The 19,957-nt window shown below is 37.5% G+C and overlaps 1 protein-coding gene and 1 long non-coding RNA gene across 4 annotated transcripts in view; one reads left to right on the top strand and one right to left on the bottom strand.

Annotated features, from left to right (window-relative positions):
- The window catches only part of CPA6 (carboxypeptidase A6), a 324,323-nt gene that overhangs the window by 236,939 nt on the left and 67,427 nt on the right, over window positions 1-19,957 (top strand). For 2 of the 3 annotated variants that reach the window (NM_020361.5, XM_017013646.2), the window contains exon 6: window positions 2,534-2,635. In NM_020361.5, the coding sequence (NP_065094.3) occupies window positions 2,534-2,635 (102 nt within the window). Of the gene's footprint in view, window positions 1-2,533; window positions 2,636-3,621; window positions 3,749-19,957 lie in introns of those variants that run through there. The other variant, NM_001440615.1, reaches the window with a different exon arrangement.
- The window catches only part of ARFGEF1-DT (ARFGEF1 divergent transcript), a 148,035-nt gene continuing 145,631 nt past the window's right edge, over window positions 17,554-19,957 (bottom strand). The window contains exon 5 of the long non-coding RNA NR_136224.1: window positions 17,554-18,457. This is a non-coding gene — a long non-coding RNA (ARFGEF1 divergent transcript). The remainder of the gene's footprint in view (window positions 18,458-19,957) is intronic.

The raw sequence follows: 19,957 nt of genomic DNA, 5'->3' as shown, positions 1-19,957 counted from the left end.
TATAGAGTCTCATATTTAACATCATCTGATAATCTCAGAAATACTTTCCCTTAGGTTTCTGAACCATATTTCATTTTTGCCATTGGATATTTCAGAGAATACTTTTGCCAACATTTTCAGTTATTGATGCGAAGTATTTGTGAGTTGGTGCTGCCTGAGGTGAACCAATGCAAAACTATTTAAATGTATAAGAAGCTGCTATGGTTTGGGTCTGTGTCCCCACCCAAATCTCACTTCAAATTGTAATTTCCAAAGTTGTGGGAGGAACCTGGTGGGAGGTGATTGAATCATGAAGGCAGATTTCCCCCTTGCTGTTCTTGTGATAGTGAGTTCTCATGAGATCTGGTTGTTTAAAAGTGTGTAGCACTTCCCCCTTCGCTCTCTTCCTCCTGCTCCACCATGTAAGCTGTGCCTCCTTCCTCTCCTCCTTCTGCCATGACTCTAAGTTTCCTGAGGCCTCCCCAGCCATGCTTCCTGTACAGCCTACGGAACTGTGAGCCAATTAAACCTCTTTTATTTATAACTACCCAGTTTCAGGTAGTTCTTTATAGCGACATGAGAACTAACTAATGCAGAAGCTATGTATTATTCTCATTCATCCCTTGACCCTGCATTCTCTTCTGTCTACTGACCTATAGCTCTCTATTCTTTCTCAGCCAAACTTCTAAAAAGACTTACCTCTAATCATCATCTCTACTTCCTCTCCTATCATTCAGACTTTGACTCACCAGCCTTTGCCCCTACAACTCTTCTAAAACTTCTTTCCAAGGCCAGCAACCACTCCTAATTGATTCTCCTCCTGTCTCTCTGACCATCTGGGTCTCACTCACTGCCTCCTTTCCCCTTATCCTTTCCTTAGGTTCAGGTAATCCCTGAGAATCTATCCTCAGCCTTACTTTCATACCACAGACACTCTCTAGACAGGCACATCTAGCCCATAATTTCAATAGTCATCCCAGACCTCTGTATCCATTGCAGTCCACCCTCTGGAACCTTAAATTCACCCACCATTGCCTGCTTGACACTCTTCCCTGGATATTCAGAAAAGCACCTCAGATTCAGAATGGCATCCCTCTCCTCCCAATTCAGAAACATGGACATCATCCTAAATTCCTCTCCTTTAACCATTCACTTTAAATTACCACCAAAAGCTGACCATTTTTTCTTCTGAATATTTTATATCTGCCCCAGTTGCTTCTCTTGTCCTCATAGCTATTACCCTAACTTCTCTCTGTGCCTGTTCTCCCTGGACTATTGCAGTAGTGGCCTCAGTACTGAGCTTCCTTCGAGCCCCCATTCTTGACCCTCTCATGCTCTAATCCATCCTCCACACTGCTGCCAATATGAGCCCTCAAACATGAGCAAGCAAACAGACACACACACACACACACACACACACACACACACACACACACACACACAAAGCACCCCATAGAATACAGGAGGAAGCCTCATCTCTTTTATTTAGTATCCAGGGAATCCACTTTGAGCTTTATCTGCTGTTCCTTCCTCAAACTGCAGGCACAGTTCCTCCAATATGGTGCGCTCAGATTCTCTTCCAGGATTGAGAGGCCTTCCTCCAACTTGTCTGCCAAACAAGCTTTATGTCTTGCTGAAGTACTCAAGTGCTCCTCTTCTGAGAAGCCACATTTTATTACTTAGGAAAATTCAACATAACACTCTTATGTTCCCATGGTAACTTATTGATATTCGCATCATAATGGTTGATTGATTGCTTACATGTTTGCCCTCTCCACTAGTGTATAAATTCCTTGTATTTTCATGTTTGAATCTCCAGTACTGAGCACGATGTCTGACATTAAAAAGGATTTCCTGAAATATTTGTGAAGTGAATTAATGAATGAATGAAAATTAGATCCCCTGTAATTATAATGTCAGGATCTCCTATTGATTTCTCGGTTAGCAACCAGGTTAAAAGTAATATTGATATGGTAGGATTGTAAAGAAAAATCTACCACTTGATTCTAGAAATCAAGTTGTTTTATGTTTTCATTTCGTGGTATAATAAAATTTGACTTTATCCACCTATAAAATATAGCTATTATTTAAGAAATATTCCTTGGGATGGAAAGAGAAAGGGGATGAGGGAGGACTTAGCTTTTTACTTAACAGTCACATACTATATTACAATGAAGAAGCAGGCTGAGCCAGCAGGATTGCAAGAGACCAGGAGTTCAAGACCAGCCTTGGCAACATAGCAAGAACTCAGCTCTTAAAAATTAATTAATTAATTAAAATTAAAAAATTTTAAAAATAAAGAAGCAACCTATTTAGGGATTTTCCTTTTCCTTTTGTACTTTCTAGTTCTTTTATTATAATTAGGACAATAAATATATTGTTTCTGCATAAAGAAGCCTGGACTTTCGAGATAGATAGGAACTCCCTTTGTCCTTTTTATGCATTACCTAATGAACCACACTACAGTGAAGAATTATGCTGAAACCTTATTAAATTATGCTGGTCAGTGAATCTAAAAGCCTGAGTTGGTTACTGTGAATGCTCTTGTTTTCAGCTGGGCAGACGATCACGACTCAAAAGAGCTGTTTGGATAGACTGTGGTATTCATGCAAGAGAATGGATTGGTCCTGCCTTTTGTCAGTGGTTTGTAAAAGAAGTAAGTTAAACCCTTTACACAATGTCCATTTCAGCTAGTCAGTGCTTCCCTGTGTTTTTATTCTGCTTAACAAAGTGGGAATTTGAAACCAATGATACCTGATTGAATAACAGTAACACCTTGATTCCATGGGCTGCTTTCATGTTTATGAAGTTCTCTTGTAACCCTGGCTCAGCTTATCCTCACCTGTGCCCTTGGAAGTGGGAATTGGCAGCTCTCATTACAGAGAAAGAACCTGAAGTTCAGAACCTTTTTAAATTTGTGACAAATTAGGAACTAACCTAGCAATGCATATATGGCACAGCTAAAAACCCAATCTGTGGTGTTCCAAAATAATTTCTTACAAGATATCCAGCTCAGAAAGTTCTACATCACTTGACTTCCTCCTCAAAATCATTTCACATATGCTCTAACAATAAAGAGATGAACAAGGGATTGCTTGTGCCCTCCTGCTATAGGTCTGTAATTTAGATACCAGAAGACCTTTAGCATCTGTGGATTTAACATTCTTAGTTTCAGTTATTTTTCAGTAACCCTAATCGTTGATGACTCATGGTGATTTCTCATTTTCTTAATGCTTCATTTGAGTCACAAGCCCTCTGAGCTAGTGTGTTGAGTGGGTCCCTATCCCAAGAGTGGGCCAGCCTTTTGTGCCAACACTTTCGTATGTTCTGATACTTTTCTATTCATTGTCAAGAATGTAATATCTTTCATGGTTTTTTTTTTTTAACCTTGACTTTTAGTTTTGGCAGTTGAGGGGTGGGAAACATCAAAGAAAACCAACCACTAATACTGATAATGAAAGTGAAAGTCGAAGGATATGAAGGGTCTTAGCCACAAAATAACTCTACAAATTTGTTAGCCCTGTACTTATAGAAAACCATTAAAGACACAAAGGATATTTAAGTATATCGGTTATATTTTACTGTGTTTTATGGGGAAATTATGTGCTGCAGTGGAATTTGTAACTTTGAAAACTCTCCTAGGTCCTAGAAAACACAGCTCACAAATGTCAAGAATGTACTAAATTTACAAAATATCTCTGCCACTACCAAAACCACAAAAGTATGCTTAATCTTGTAAGTATTGAGTAATAAAATTTTCTAAACATTCCTACTCAGTTTATTGAGTAATTTGCATTCTCTTGAAACACTATTTCATCCTGCTAGGACAAATGCAAAAGCTAATAAGAAATTAACTCTATTATGTTGCATCAAATACCCAATGTATACATATCAACACATTGTCTGCTATTTCAGGTTAAAAAAAAAGAAATAGTTAAGTACAGAACATCTGTTGTTGATAGGATATAGTCATGTATATTATTGAAGAACATGAGAATGTATCTCCCCAGCATTCCAGCTAAAGTTTTCCCTCACCCCCAACATACGCAATCTTTTCTTTACAACATCTAAATTTACTTTGTCTATTATATTGTTATCATCTTATTCCTGTATCAACTCCAACAAGAGAAACTCTATCCATCTTGTTCACTGTTAAATCCCAACATGTAGAACAACACTTGGCACTTAATAGGTGTTCAAATATTTGTTAATGCACTGAAATGATGAGAATTCAGTGGTAATGATGTGGAAAGATTTCTGGATGATGACTTGTCAAATCATCTCATAGGATATGAATGGTTCCATCTGGATTTTTATAGTACACAATCTGTAGAGCCATATACAGCAGCACTGTAACCTGGGCTAAATTTCCAAGGAAGAGAAGGACAGTGTACCCACAGGTACTCAGGAAAAGGAAGAGGCATATGCAATGACTGTCAACTGAGGGCAGTTGATTTTGGAACAAGAGCAAGAAGCAACAATTGAGATTAGGCTCCATTTCCACCGATACATCATTGGGAGGAGAGGCTTTCCTCTCCATCCTCCTCCCTCCTGCACAGGGCCATCATGTGTGCAGATGAGTGAGGCCATTCCTGTGCCTCTGCTACCCTCCCCACACCTCTTTCACTCCTCTGGATTATGGCTGCCATTTCCTCCTCCACTTTACCACTCCATTTTCTGTCTGAGCCATGGAAGCAACCAGAAATGGAACAAAGGAGGCCTAGAGGTCATTCACCCCAGTGTCACAGTCAAGGTGTCAGCTGGAGCCCTGGGCATGAGGATGTGTGGCTTCACTGGGGGATGATGTGCTTCCAAGCTCACTCACATGGCTGTTGGTAAGCCATAAGTCCTCACTGGCTGTGGGCCAGAGATATCAACTCCTTGCCACATAAGCTTCTTCCTAGGCCAGCTGAAAACGTGGCACCTGGCTTCACTCAAAGCAGGTGAGAGAGAAAGCAAGAGAAAACAGGCCCCAGATGGAAACCACGGTTCTTTTGTAACTTAGGCTTGGAAGTGACCTCATATCACTTTTGCCATATTTTCTTCATTAGAAGTGAGTCACTTGGTCCAGCCCATACTCAAGAGGAAGGAATTATGCAGGGCACAAATACTAAGAGCAGGAATTGTTGGATCACATTAAAGTCTGCCTACCATTCCTTGATGAGATTTCCCCATAACCACTTACATCCTTATGCAAATGTGAACTGGAAGAAAACTTATCAGCCTTTCTAGGATCCTGATAGAGCCTCAGATTGCATAGGTGTTATGTGCACACAGTTGGAAGTCAGGCAACCCCACACTGATGTCAGGGTAATGTCAGCTCTGCCACTTACTGTCTGTGTTATCTTAATGTCAAGTCACTTAACCTTTCTAAGCCTCAGCAAAATGAGGATAATGATAGTATGTAACACATTGGCTTATTGGGAGGATTAAATAATACAACGCATGTGTTCTCTCATAAGTGGGAGTTGAACAATGAGAACACATGGACACAGGGAGGGGAACATCACACACTGGGGCCTGTCAGGGGATGGGGGAAAATGGGAGCGAGAGCATTAAAAGAAATACCTAATGCATGCGCAGCTTAAAACCTAGATGATCTGTTGATAGGCACAGCAAACCACCGTGGCACATGTAAACCTATGTAACAAACCTGCACATTCAGGACATGTATCCCAGAACTTAAAAAAATAATAATAATAATATAATGCATGCAAAAGACTTAACAGAATGTTTGGCATATAATAAACAATAAAATCAATTATTATTACTATTATATCAGCAATTTGGTATTTTTAAATAACTAATGGAAAGGAACAATTAAAAAGAAAATCAAGCTGGGCATGGTGGCTCACACCTGTAATCCCAGCACTTCGGGAGGCCGAGGCAGGAGGATCACTTGAGCCCAGGAATTCGAGATCAGCCTGGGCAACATAGTGAGACCCTGTCTCTACAAAAAAAAAAAAAAAAAAAATTTAATTAGCTGGGCATAGTGGTGCATGCCTGTAGTCCCAGCTACTCCAGAGGCTGAGGAGGGAGGACCTGTTGAACTCAGGAGGTCAAAGCTGCAGTGAGCTGTGATGATGCTACTGCACTCCAGCCTGGGCAGAACAAGACCCTGTCTCAATAAATAAATAAGACTCTGGGAGGCCTAGGCAGGTGGGCCACTTGAGATCAGGAGTTCAAGACCAGCCTGGCCAACATGGTAAAACCCTGTCTCTACTAAAATTACAAAAATTAGCTGGATGTGGTGGCACATAACTGTAGTCCCAGCTACTCAGGAGGCTGAAGCAGGAGAATTCCTTGAACCAAGGGGGCAGAGGTTGCAGTGAGCCAGGATCATGCCACTACACTCCAGCCTGGGCAACAGAGCGAGACTCCATCTCAAAAATAAACAAATAAATAAATAAATAGAAATTAAAAAATCAAGGATATAAAGGAACTCAACAGCACTATCAACCAACAGGATCTAATAGACTGTACCCAACAAGAGCAGAATACACTTTCTTTTCAAGTGCCTATAGAACATATTCTAAAATATACCATATCCTCTTCCAAAACATAGACCTCAACAAGTATAAAATAATTGAAATCATAAGGTGTGTTCTGTAACCACAATGAAATCAAACTAGTAATTGATAGCAGAAGAATAACAGGAAAATCTCCAAACACTTGGAAATTAAACACATTTCTAAATGATCCATGGGTCAAAGATAAAATCTCAAGGGAAGTTTTGATAATGCCTTGAACTGGTTAAAAGTGAAAATACAACATATCAAAATGTGTGGGGCATAGCTAAAGCAGTGCTGAGAGGGAAATGTATAGCACTAAAGGTATATGTTAGAAAAGACGAAAAGTCTCAAAACAATAAGCTCTTCCTTCAATGACCTAGAAAAATAGAAAATAAACCCAAAGCATGCAGAAGGAAGGAAATAATAGAAATAAGAGCAAAAATAAATGAAATTGAAAACAAAGTTATTAGAGAAAATCAATAAAACAATAAGCTGACTGGAGTGCAGTAGCATGATTATGGCTCACTGCAGCCTTGATTTCCCAGGCCCATGCAAATCTTTCACGTCAGCCTCCAGAGTAGTTGGGACCACAGGTGTGTGCCACCAATTCAGGCTAATTTTTTTAAATTATTTTTTGTAGAGGCAGCGTCTCCCTGTGTTGCCCAAGCTTATCTCAAACTCCTAGGCTCAACTACCACCTCAGCCTCCCAAAGTGCTGGGATTATAGGCATGAGCCATGCACCTGGCCTGGTTATTTTAAAAGATAGATAAAATTGACAAAGCTCTAGCATGAGAGACAAAGAAAATAAGAAGATGCAAATTACCAATATCAGAAATGAAATGGAATATCACTACAAACTCTGAAGATATAAAAAAGGTTAATAAGGGAATACTGGGAATAATTCTACCCATGTAAATTTGACAACGTAGACAAAATGAACCAATTAGTTGAACAACACCAACTACTACAACTTACCTATTAGAAAGTAGAGAATTTGAATATCCCTATAACTATTACAAATATTAACTTATGATTTTTAAATTCCCCAAAAAGGAAATTTCAAGGCCCAGAAGCTTTCACTGGAGAATTCTACCAAATGTTTAAAGAAGAATTAACACCAATTCAACACAGTCTTTTCAGAAAATAGACGAGGTTGGAACACTTCCAATTCTTTTTATGAAGCCTGATACCAAAACTAGAGGCAGCACATGAAAAAGAAACTCAGACCAATATCCTTCTTGAAAATAGATACAGAAATCCTGAATAAAGTATTAATGGATAGAATTTAGCAATCAAGAAAAATAATTATATACCATAGCTAAGTGAGATTTATTTCAGGGATGCAATCCCAGTTTAATACTCAAAAGTTAATCATTGTAATCCACTGTATTAAAAGCTAAAGAAGAAAAATTATATAATTTTATCAATTGATGCAGAGAAAGCCTTTGACAAAATTTAACATACATCCATGATAAAACTCTTAAAGAAAGAGAGGGGAAATTTTTCAACAGGATACAAGATAAACATACAAAATCAATTTTATTTCCATATACATAATAGCAATGAACACGTGGACACTGGAATTTTTAAAATACAAGATTATATACAATTACTCAAAAAAGTGAAATACTTTTAGGTGTAAATCCAGCAAAACATGTACAGGACTTACATGCTGAAAACTACAAAATGCTGGTGAAATAAAGAAAATTGAAGTGGAGAGACATACCACATTCATGGATTGGGAGATTTCAAAATAGTAAAGATGGCAATTCTACTCAAATTGATATAGAGATTTAACACAATTCCTATCAAAATTTCAGCAAGACTTTTTTGTAGCCATAGATAAGATTATTCTTAAAAGTATATGGAATGGCAAAGGAAGTAGGAGAGCTAAAACTATTTTGAAAAAGAAGAATGAAAAGGGAGGGAGGATTCATTCTATCTAATTTCAAGACATACTATATACCTACAATAATTAAGAGTGTGTGGTATTGGTGAAAGAATAGACATAGATAAATGGACCAGAATAGAAACCCAAAAATAGATCCACACAAATATTCCCAACTGACTTTTGACAAAAATGCAAAACCAATTCAAAGGAGGAAAGACAGCCTTTTCAACAAATGGTGCTGGAGCAATTGGATATTCATTGCAAAAAAAAAAAAATGAATCTTTTTTTGTATATGGTATGAGTCTAAGTCTCATACCATATACAAAAAAATTAACTCAAAATTGATCATGAATTTAAATGTAAAATGTAAAACGATAAAACTTTTAGGGGAAAAAAGCATAGAAGAAAATCTTCAGGATCTAAAACCAAGACAAAGCGTTCTTTGATTTGACACCAAAAACATGCTCCATAAAAGGAAAAATAGATACATTGTACATTATCAAACAATCAAAATTTTAAACTTTTGCCTATGAAAAACTGTTAAGAGGATGAAAATGATAAGCTGCAGACTGAGAAAACATATGCAAATCACAGATCTAATAAAAGACTCATTTGGAATATATAAACTCAAAACTTGACAGTAAAAAGCAAGCAATCCAATGAGAAAATGGGCAAAAGACATGAAGAGACATTGAACCAAAGTGTATATATACAGATGGCAAATAAGCACACGCAAAAAAGATGTCGTTGGGAAAATTAAAGCCACAGTGAGCTATCACTGCACACCTATCTGAGTGGCTAAAAATAATCAGATAGATAGATTTATATCTATAGATGTATAGGTAGATCTATACATCTACAGATATATATCACAAATATCAACAAATGCCAGGGAGGATGCAGGAAACTAGAACACTCATATGTTGCAGGTGCAAATGTAAAACGGTAGAGCTATTCTTGAAAACAGTTGGCAGTCTCTTTTCAAACTAGGCATGGAACTACTGTATGACCCAGTAATTGCACTCCTGGCATTTATCCCAGAGAAATTAAGACTTATGTTTGCTCAAAAACCCGTGCACAAATGTTTATAGCATCTTTATTTTTAGTAGCCCAAAACTGGAAACAACCCAGGTATCCATCAACAGGCAAATGGTTAAACAAACTGTAGTACATCCATACCATGGAAAACTATTCAACAATTAAAAGGAACAGATTATTGATAAATGCAGCAACCTGGATGAATCTCCAGAGAATTATGCTGAATGAAAAAGCCAATCTTAAACAAATGCCTATTGTATTATTTCATTTATATATTGTTCTCTAAATGACAAAATTATGGAAATGGAGAACAGATTAGTGACTGCTCAGGGTTAGGGAAGGGGTGGAGTTGGAAGGAAAGTGGATGTGGCTGTAAAAGGGCAACATGAGGAATGTGTGTGAGGATGGAAATGTTCTGTATCTTGCCCATATCGATGCCAATACCCTAATGGTAATATTATACTACAGTTTGGCAAGATATTACCAATGGGGAAAAATAGGTAAGTGGTATATGGTATCTGTCTGTATTCCTATAATTACATGTGGACCCTAATTTATCTCCAAATCAGAAGTTTATTATAAAAATAATAGCCAGGCTGCATATCCCTGGTTTCCATTCTTTGGAACCAGGTGCTTCTCTTGCCTAGAGAAACAGTCAATTTCATCTCTGCTCTCTCTTCCCTACTGTGTAATCCTCATCAGCTGGCCCTGACTCTCTCTGCCACAGAAACCAGAAGTATCAAGGGGGGCTCTGGCTCTGTAAGTTCATCTCTTCTTTGGCCAGCATTACCGTCCCATGCCATGCCCGGAGAGCCACTTCCACTTCTGCCTCCATTCCAATTTAGTAGAGTGATCTGTGGATGTCTATTTTGAAAACACAAAGCTCAGAAAACAGTGATACAGAAGCAAACTACCAGAATTAAATGACTGGTAAATTGGGCTTCATTATTTTATTATTTTGAAAATTGCAAAAATGAATTCATTATCTCAACAAATAATTGATAGTTCCTAGTTGACATTTTTTAAATGCCAGATATACCACAAAACTTATGGGTTTTAGTCTTTTAAGTTGATAGTCATTTAATTCTCTTGGAAAACGTAGAGCCATCACCTTTCTGTTTGCAGTACATGCTACCTCTCTTTCTTTCCTAATATTCACATAGCACAAATTTTTTTAATCATGTAAGTAGAATTAAGAAGACAAATGGTTGGTACGCTTAGATTGCAAAATCTTTCTCTTGTTGAATGCTTGCTTATACCAGGTTAGCAAAACCATTACCAATATCATATGATATTTATGGTGCCATGGGACTTTGAGGGGAGAGGAAAAAGATGAACACAGACATGCTGGACTTACTGTTGAAATGTATACTACAGATGCTCCCTTCATCACAAAATTAAAAAGGAGTTTTAAGAAATATTCCCTTTTGGCGTTAATTTTTTTTTTTTTTTTTTTTTTTTTTTTGAGATGGAGTCTCGCTCTGTCACCCAGGTTGGAGTGTAGTGGTGTGATCTTGGCTCACTGCAACCTCTGCCTTCCAGGTTCAAGCAATACTCCTGCCTCAGCCTCCTGAGTAGCTGGGATTACAGGTGCGCACCACCACACACTGCTAATTTTTCTATTTTCAGTAGAGATAGGGTTTCACCATGTTGGCCAGGCTGGTCCCAAACTCCTGCCCTCAAGTGATCCACCCGCCTCAGCCTCTCAAAGTGCTGGGATTACAGATGTGAGCCACCATGTCCAACCTAAAGTTTCTTAAATTTGTCATGGGCCAAGAGGGATGACACAGACACTAAATTCATCAAAGAAAGAAAACTAGAATAAATACATAAGGAGAAATAAGCAGAGATACACATACAGAACTTGGAAGTTATCTTTCTGCAAACGTGAACAGATATCTACAGAAGAGCAAAGAGACTTAAACCTGAGAATGGGCAAAGGCCAGGGAACAAAGAGAATAGACAGCAAGGAGATACTTGTAAAGAGGGACACTTACAAAACTTAAAAGTAATGGACTTGAAAATTAAATTTAAAAATAGAGGATGGCTCACACCTGAGGCGGAATGAATCACTTGAGGCCAGGAGTTCAAGACCAGCCTGGACAACATGGCAAAACCCCTTCTCTACTAAAAATACAAAAATTAGCTGGCCATGGTGGTGCATGCCTGTAATCCCAGCTATTCGGGAGGCTGAGGCAGGAGCATTGCTTGAACCCAGGAGGCAGAGGTTGCAGTGAGCCGAGATCACACCACTGCACTCCAGCGTGGGCAACAGAGCAAGACCCCATTTCAAAAAAAAAAAAAGTAGAGGAAACTACCAAGTTAAAATAGGGTTGAAAACAGTATGGCAGTTCTTCCAAAAGTTAAACATAGAGTTACTATGTGACCCCAAAATTCCACTCCTATGTGTGTACCCAAGAGAACTGAAAGCATATCCACACAGAAACTTGTGCATGAATGCTCATAGCAGCATTATTCATCATAGCCAAAAAGTGGCCATCAACTGATGAATAGTTTTTTTATTGGTATAACCATACAACAGGGCATTATTCAGCCATAAAAGGAAGGAAGGTATTAAGATACAGCAGTGATGGACCTTGAAGACATTATGCTAAATGAAATGAGGCAGACACAAAGACTCATATATTGTATCACTCCGTTTATATGAAATGTTCAGAGAATAGGCAAATCCATAAAAACAGGAAGCACATTAGTAGTTGCAAGGGGATGGAGTAAGCGGGAATTGGAACTAACAACTACCAGGTTCTTTTTGGAGTGGTGGAAATGTCCTAGAATTCAATAATGATGATGATTGTACAGCACTGCAAATATACTAAAAACCACTGAATTGTACACTGTAAAATGGTGAATTTTATATTCTGTGAATCGTATCTCAATAAGAAGTCAATGAAGTGCTGATACATGCTACAACATACATGAATCTTGAAAACATGCTAAATGAAAGAAGTTGATCACAAAATATTACGTATTACCTGATTCCATACATATGCAATGCCCCAAATCAGCGAATTTCTGGAAAAAGAAAGTAGATTAGTGGTTGCCTATAGTGAGGGAAGAGGATAGGATTAGGGGGTGGATACCTAAAGAGTAAGGGCTTCTTTTTTGGATAATGAAAGTATAAGGCCAGGCACCGTGGCTCACGCCTGTAATCCCAGCACTTTGGGAGGCCAAGGTGGGCAGATCATGAGGTCAGGAGTTCAAGACCAACCTGGCCAACATGGTGAAACCCCATTTCTACTAAAAATACAAAAATTAGCCGGGTGTGGTGGCACATGCCTGTAATCCCAGCTACTGTGGAGGCTGAGGCAGGAGAATCGCTTGAACCGGGGAGGCGGAGGTTGCAATCTGCCAAGATTGTGCCACTGCACTCTAGCCTGGGCAACAGAGAGACACTCCATCTCAAAAAAAAAAAATAAAATAAATATATATATATATATATATATATATATATATATATATAAACTATATAGTGGTGATGGTTGCACAACTCTGTAAATATACTAAAACACAGTAAATTGCACACTATAAAAGGATGAATTGTAAGGTGTGTGAATTATATCCCAAAAAAGCTGTTATTTTTTAAATTAGGGTTAAATAGCATTCCCTCAGAAGATATTTATATTAATCAGTTCAACAAATTATGTTGATCACCACATTTTTAGCATTCTGCTTATATTATGGGCATCAACAGAAGTGTAAATCATGGTAACTGCACTAAGGGGTCTGCATTCTATTTGAGGAGGAATATTTATGTGCGGGAAACAACATAAAATAGTGTGTCTTTGGAGGCCTAAGTGTACTGATTATAGTACCTGAAGGAATTAAGGAATTAGAAAAATCCATTAAGACTTTAAAAAGACAAGGTTTGGGGAAGCTTTGTGGAGAAAATGATTCTCCAGCCTTGACTGAGAAGTTGGAATTTGATCAGGGAAATGAAAGTATTCCAAGAAAGAGAAAAGATTAATGTTGAGAATGAGCATGATATGTGGGCGTTGTAGATTTAGTGAGGCAGCAACGTACAGTCTATGTGAGTAAACTCTAATGCCATATAATGCTGCTTGAAAAATTATAGTAAGCCTTGGAAGCCAGGCAGAGTTTGGTCCAATGAAGTAAAATGAGAAGACACTTGCCAGGTGCAGTGGCTGACACCTATAATTCCAGCATTTTGGGAGGCCAAGGTGGAAGGATCGCTTGAGCCCAGGAGGTCAAGGCTGCAATGAGCTGTGATCACACCTCTGCACTCCAGCCTGGGTGACAGAGTGAGATCTTGTCTCAAAAAAAGAGAAAAAGAAAAAGAAAACACTGATAAGGAGCAAAAAACACATCCCATTGTCAGAGAGCTTAAAGATGAAAGGCAATGATATATGGATGAAAGGAAGGAGAAAGAACCCAGAGTGAGGGCTACTAACTAGAAATTTATAGGGCAGGAATCTACACATAGACAGGAAGAGTGGATGTAGGAATGGAAAGTGAAAAAAACATATAAAAAAATTTCAAAGCAGATATTCATTCATACTATCAAATGCTTATTGAGCACTTCTTTTTATATGAAGGCAGCATGCTAAGTCCTGTAATGGCACAAGTACTGTCCTACAGTGCACAAAACATTAACCCTTTCCTCAATGCATTTGCAGTTCTACTTGGGAGAAGAGACAGACACAAAAGAAGGCAGTGATAAAGAAAGTCTTTAGGAATGGATGATTGGCTTGATATGGGAATGGAAGAGGAGGATGGATCAAAGATAAGATGCCCAAGAGATTTGTGGTGTCATTGAAGTTGGGGGAGCATCATTTGAAGCATTGGCAGGACCATTAGTCTGAAGGAAAGTACCCAACACTACACTACACTAAGCTGGTGAAATGATTAATTTATTCAGCAAGTAATTATCAAGTGTTTACTACTATGCACTAGGCCAGGCCCTGTTAAGACACCGTGGATACTGGATAATGGGGAGGGAAAATCAAAAACTCTGCTGTTATCCAACTCATGGATTCTCATGGACCAAAAGAATGAATGCTGTTTGATAAGAGGTGAAAGATCAAGCAAGCTGCCAAAATGAATGAATACCTGATTCACAGGCCTAATTTGGGCAGCAGACAACCAAGAATAAATTCCAGTGATTTTGTCTGCTGTAACAAAGTTGTGTGTAAGTACTTTTCTTGTCTGTATTACATAAGCTGATAAGAAGAGACAAGCAAAGGGATGGAAGATCGTAGAAGTACACCATTGAGGTCCTGGTACAAATTTAGGGCAAGTAATAGCTATATTTAGGATCGCCTAGTAATTTTCAGTGGCAGCTCATTTTTACATCTTTTTGTTTTTTTAATTGTGGAAAGGCCACTTTAATTCTTTGTTGCCAATGCAGATGGAATAGCATTTGCTTCATTTTTCAGAATAACCTCCAACTGAATGAGGCAATTTGGGCTTTGTTCGCTTTTGCTAGTTTGAGATTGTTGACCTCCCAGATTGAGTATCTCAAGCCATGGCTGGTGCTTGCTGGCCCAGAGTTACGCATAGCACTCCAGTTTTTTTCCTCAAATAATTCTACATCGCTGGGATGAATTTGACCAGAGTCATTATTTGTATAATATTAAGAAAGTAACTCAGGGAAATATTTGTTTGATTTCCAAGTAAAGAAGACATTTCCAAGCATAAAAGCAAAGAAAGAGGCGTAAAGGAATGACTGATAGCCCTGACTACATAAAAATATTTTAGTATAGTATTTAATGATGAAGAAAACCCTTCATGACATGTTGCTATGTTTAAAAAAAAAACCAGCATGGACAATATAATTCAATTTTGCAAAATCTGTGTCTGAGAGTTATATAGATATATACCTGAAAAAATGCCAAATGTTAAGAGGATAGGATCATGGGTAATTTTTATTTTCTTCTTTATGCTTTTCTGAATTTCCCAAAATTTTCTACATAAAACATGTCAAAAATGACTATGTTTTTAAAACTAAACTCAGTTACACTTGAGTCATATATTTCTACAGGTTTTTAGAATCAGCAGTTGAATTCTATTTAATTCAGTGGCAGACCAAAGATAAAGCAAGGGCTTGTGAAAAAAATGTTTGGGACTAAAATGGCCTGAAATGGAAAGTTCTCCTAGACATTGAAGATGTATAATATACAGGTGGATCTAATCTGATCCTGTTACAGAAAGGCAGCAGTACAAAAAAAAAGAAAGAAAGAAAGAAAAGAAAAGCAATAAAACATCCTTAGTTCTCCAAGTGAGCCACAATATTCGTCTGCTGTCTATGTAATGTGAAACCTCACCCTTCCAGGCCCAGTTTGATTATTGGAAAACCATCTCTATTGCACATTCCCACCCATCTACACTCAGCACTGCAGTGATGGCTAGTCCTAGTGCCAACATCTGGCATGTGATTCAGATGTACTATGTAGATGATTCAAATAAAAATAAGAATAGGAGACTTTCAGGGAAGCAGGTTATTTTCCAGGCAGAGCAAGTAGTAATATGTGAGGGCTATGGTGGGTTTTCTGTTTAGGACAGAGCTCTAAGAATGACTTAGAGCTGTGGTTGTAGGAGAAGTCCTCCAACTGGGAAGTCTTTCCAGAAGGGGAAGGCTCTTCTCCCAGGATCCAAAAGCTCTCCAGGGAATAGTCCTTTTAGATAATCATTTCTTTCAGTCTCATTATGTCTTGCTGCTCATTAAAGGTAAAATATAAGCCCTCAGATATTGGCATGAAACACCAAGGTCTTGGTTAAGAAATAGATCACTAAAAATAAACATTTTTAAGAAGAGAACTTAAATTGCATGTATGTGCCAAAAAACAGGGAATAAATAATTGAGACAGCTACTAAGCCCAGATCAAGTATCTAATGAGTTCAGCTGAGTAAGCAAACACGTCTTTGTTCTTAATTACCTAATGGAAAACAGCTCATCATATGAAAATGATCTTCATTTTTTAAATTGTCTGACTTTGGTTCACTGCCATTCTGAGTAATTATGATATTTTGGTTTGCTTTTTCCTGGCCTTCAGTACCGTTAGTTCCCTATGTTCTCCCATGCTCACTCTCCCCAATCTCCTTCATTCTTCACATCTTCCAGCCTATCTCTTTCTCCCTTCTATCCAATTTATAATGCCTTGAACATAGCAGAGTTTTGATTCAATATTTGTTTAGTTTCAGTTTGACTAAACTGAAATCCATTGCATTAGTTGTACTCCGCTACCTAATAATAGTGAGTGTTCTGGCCATTGTGTAGACAGACAATGCTTGCTTTCCACCAGTAGCACCAGACTATAAAAGTGGCGACGCAAGCTGAAGCAGGACAGAGCAATCTTCATAATCAATGAGAGAAATTGTTTGTTCCGTGATCCTAAGAGCTTTTGTCATAATATTAAAAACTCTCTTACTTTGTTATACATGTATTGGGAAATGATTTTAAGTAGTAAAACTAATATTTAGTATGCTACATTTTAAATCATGAGAAATACTGTGAATTAAAATGTCTTATTTCTTTGTAAAAAAAAAACCTTATAAAGGGTAGTTTGGATTGTGCTCATTATCTTCTCTCTGTATAGCTTACAATATGAAATAAGCATCTTTCATAAAAAATTTGCCTTGGCAGATTGCCATACTTGTCTCTTCACTGAATCAGCTTCCAATATTTTTTTTTCCTTTGTACTTTCAATGTCACTAAATATCTTACTTTAATGTGAAGTGTTGCCAGGTCACTTCTTCTGGAATATCATCATCCTTTTCATCCCAACCACTTGCCTCATCTGTATTGGTAAGTTGGTCCTCACTGTATTCCTGTGGCTGCATATTTAGAGCTGAATGCTGCAGTGTCAACATTCCTAGTCAGCTATTTGTTCTAAGCTCCATTTATATTTGGGTTCAGATCTCACCTCCAGCATTAGCACTTTTCATTTCTTTGCCACACTTTCACCTTAGTTGGACAATTTCCTCTTTCCACCATCCATTATTGTAAATTACCTTGTAGATTTATCACCGGGAAACAAGGACACAACACAACTACACACTTTGCTGTCTGTGTGTAAACTGATTATGAGATGCACAGTAGTAACCAACCAACCACTGACAGACTTTTAAAGAAATAGTAGAATCGATCACAGGTCTTGATGCTCATTTTTATTTATATAGTGATTTGTAGCAGTGGTAACCAAAATTCACACTTCTGTGGGAGGACTGGTGTTATTTAACTAAAGTGCAGTAACAAATTTGTGTATATAAGAGCCATGCAAAGTGAAGACATCTGTACTTTCTTTTTTGGTAGGTAAAATATCCTTACAGATTAGATCTTCACAATACCAAAGTTGTCCTGGCTTCTTCTCATGAGCAAATACAACCAATGAATCACTGTTGTTAGGCTATCTCTGTGTGAAATGTGAAATGGCATTACTTAGGAAAAAGAATAGACATGTATCTAGTAGTATATTCTTCCTGGTGACACAAAACATTTCAAATATTTATGTTTCTTATTAGAAAATGTAGATTAATTGGCAACATTTTCTAGTCTTCACCTGCCCTGTTAGATTAGTCACTCTGGGTGGTTCTAAGTATAACTAAGTATAAAAATAACTAGAATATACAAGATGAGGAGATCATTTTCAGTTTTTCACCCTTCATTTATGAAGCCTTTTCTTCTCGTTACTTTCAAACTGTTATTTGATTGACCATTTTGTATTTAATGAGCATCTTGTAGTGTGATGTCAGCTATCTTTATAGATTAAGCTCCCCTTTGAAAAAAAAAAAAAAAAAAACTTCCCTGTAAACTCTCCCCGACTCCAATTGATTCTTCTGGTATTGAATTTAAAATACCTCCTTTGTGTTGAGATGCACCCATTTTGGTGCCGCAGTGTTTACCAGTCCTAAGTGATATTCCTGTCCCGTCCAGTTGAGGCTGGTCTTCAGCTTGATGGTGACTGTGCCCCTTTCTTTGGCCTTAGCTGTAACAGGCTTCGTTCTGCCAGTGTGTCCTGCATTGGATGTGTGGTTATTTTTAGGTCCTCTGCAGTGATTCTAAAGTAAAAATAGAAGAAAGTTTTAAAGCTACCTTTTTAAAAGCCATTAACACCAATCCTCAAAAAAGTGATCTCCATATTCCATGCTGTCATGAACTCTAAGAAAGCAACATCCAACCACGTAAATCCGAAAGCATTGAAAAGGAGGGAAACCCTTTACCTCACTTTGTCATGCCACACAAAGGCATTAGTCATGGCAAAATTTGTCTTTGATTTTAACCAAAGTTTATTTGGTGAATTCTGATCTATAACATGTACATAAGTATGTAGAGGCCAAAATAGTCTTGGCAGATGGTGAATACCAAATAGATTCATTCTATGTCTTTCTTAATTAACTTCAGAAATGCCCCAATCAGTTCCAAACTTATCATTTGCCTGGGAGAAGATAATACTAAAAACTTTCCTTAGTATCTTTTAATTGAAAAAATTGCTTTGGTGAAGCCTCTTTAAAATAAATTTAAGTGAGGTGATGCAGTACCTAGGGACCGCCACACTGAGGCGTGTGGTGCATTGTTTTGCAACTGGCTTTCAGATCCCGACTACTTAAGTCTTCCTCATAAGCAACAATAGTAATAAAGAAATTAAACTTTGTAGGTCCAGATGCAACTTGATTATTGGGCATCTCCTTTTCAGTGTGTATGGAGGGTATGTATCGATTGCTAAAAATAGTTCTACACATTAGAAGAAAAGCACACCCCTGTGTTCTTCATGTTTATCATATGTTAGAATAACAGGAAATAGAAAGACACATGGTTACGTTTCTTTTAGAAACCCCTACCTAAACCATAAAAGACAAATGATCTGTGTCCTATTATTTAAGGCACTCAAGCAAGGAATTCTCCTAAATGTCCTGTTCAGTATTTAACAGTCATCACGTCGTGATGATTCTTGCTTTGTGTGACCAGATGGAGAATAGCTGAAATTCTTAGAAAGTTACAAAAATCACAAATACAGCATATGCAATACAATGACACCCTGCTTGTTTGTCAGAGGAAGAACACGTTCTGACAAGTCTTGGAAATTAAACTGTTTCCAGAATAGAATACTAGAGAACAGCTTCTTTGATTAATATATTATTTAGAAATGAAAAAATTTTAAATGATGTTAATGGCCTCAAAATATATAAAACAAAAATTGACAGCATGTAAGAGAAACCAATAAGGCCAAAATAACAATATGAGGTTTTAACACAATTCTCAGTGGTTAAAATAGCAGACAAATTTTTAGTAAGAATATAGGTAATACAAACAATAATAACATAATCCAATGAACACATATAGTATCTTTACCCAATAATTAGAGAATGTATATTTTTTAAGCACAATTGGAACATTCACAACAATTGATTATATTCTAGTCCACAAAGCAAGTATCAACAAATACCAAATAATCTGTTAAAAATATCACATTCTCTAACTGTAATACAGTGTCAGAAATCATTTATTTTAAAAAAAAATGATTAACACATATTTAGAAAAAAACATTTATACGTAAAATT

This window comes from Homo sapiens, chromosome 8 (genome assembly GCF_000001405.40).
Source record: "Homo sapiens chromosome 8, GRCh38.p14 Primary Assembly".
NCBI lineage: Eukaryota > Metazoa > Chordata > Mammalia > Primates > Hominidae > Homo > Homo sapiens.
This window is presented reverse-complemented; position numbering and strand designations above follow the sequence as displayed.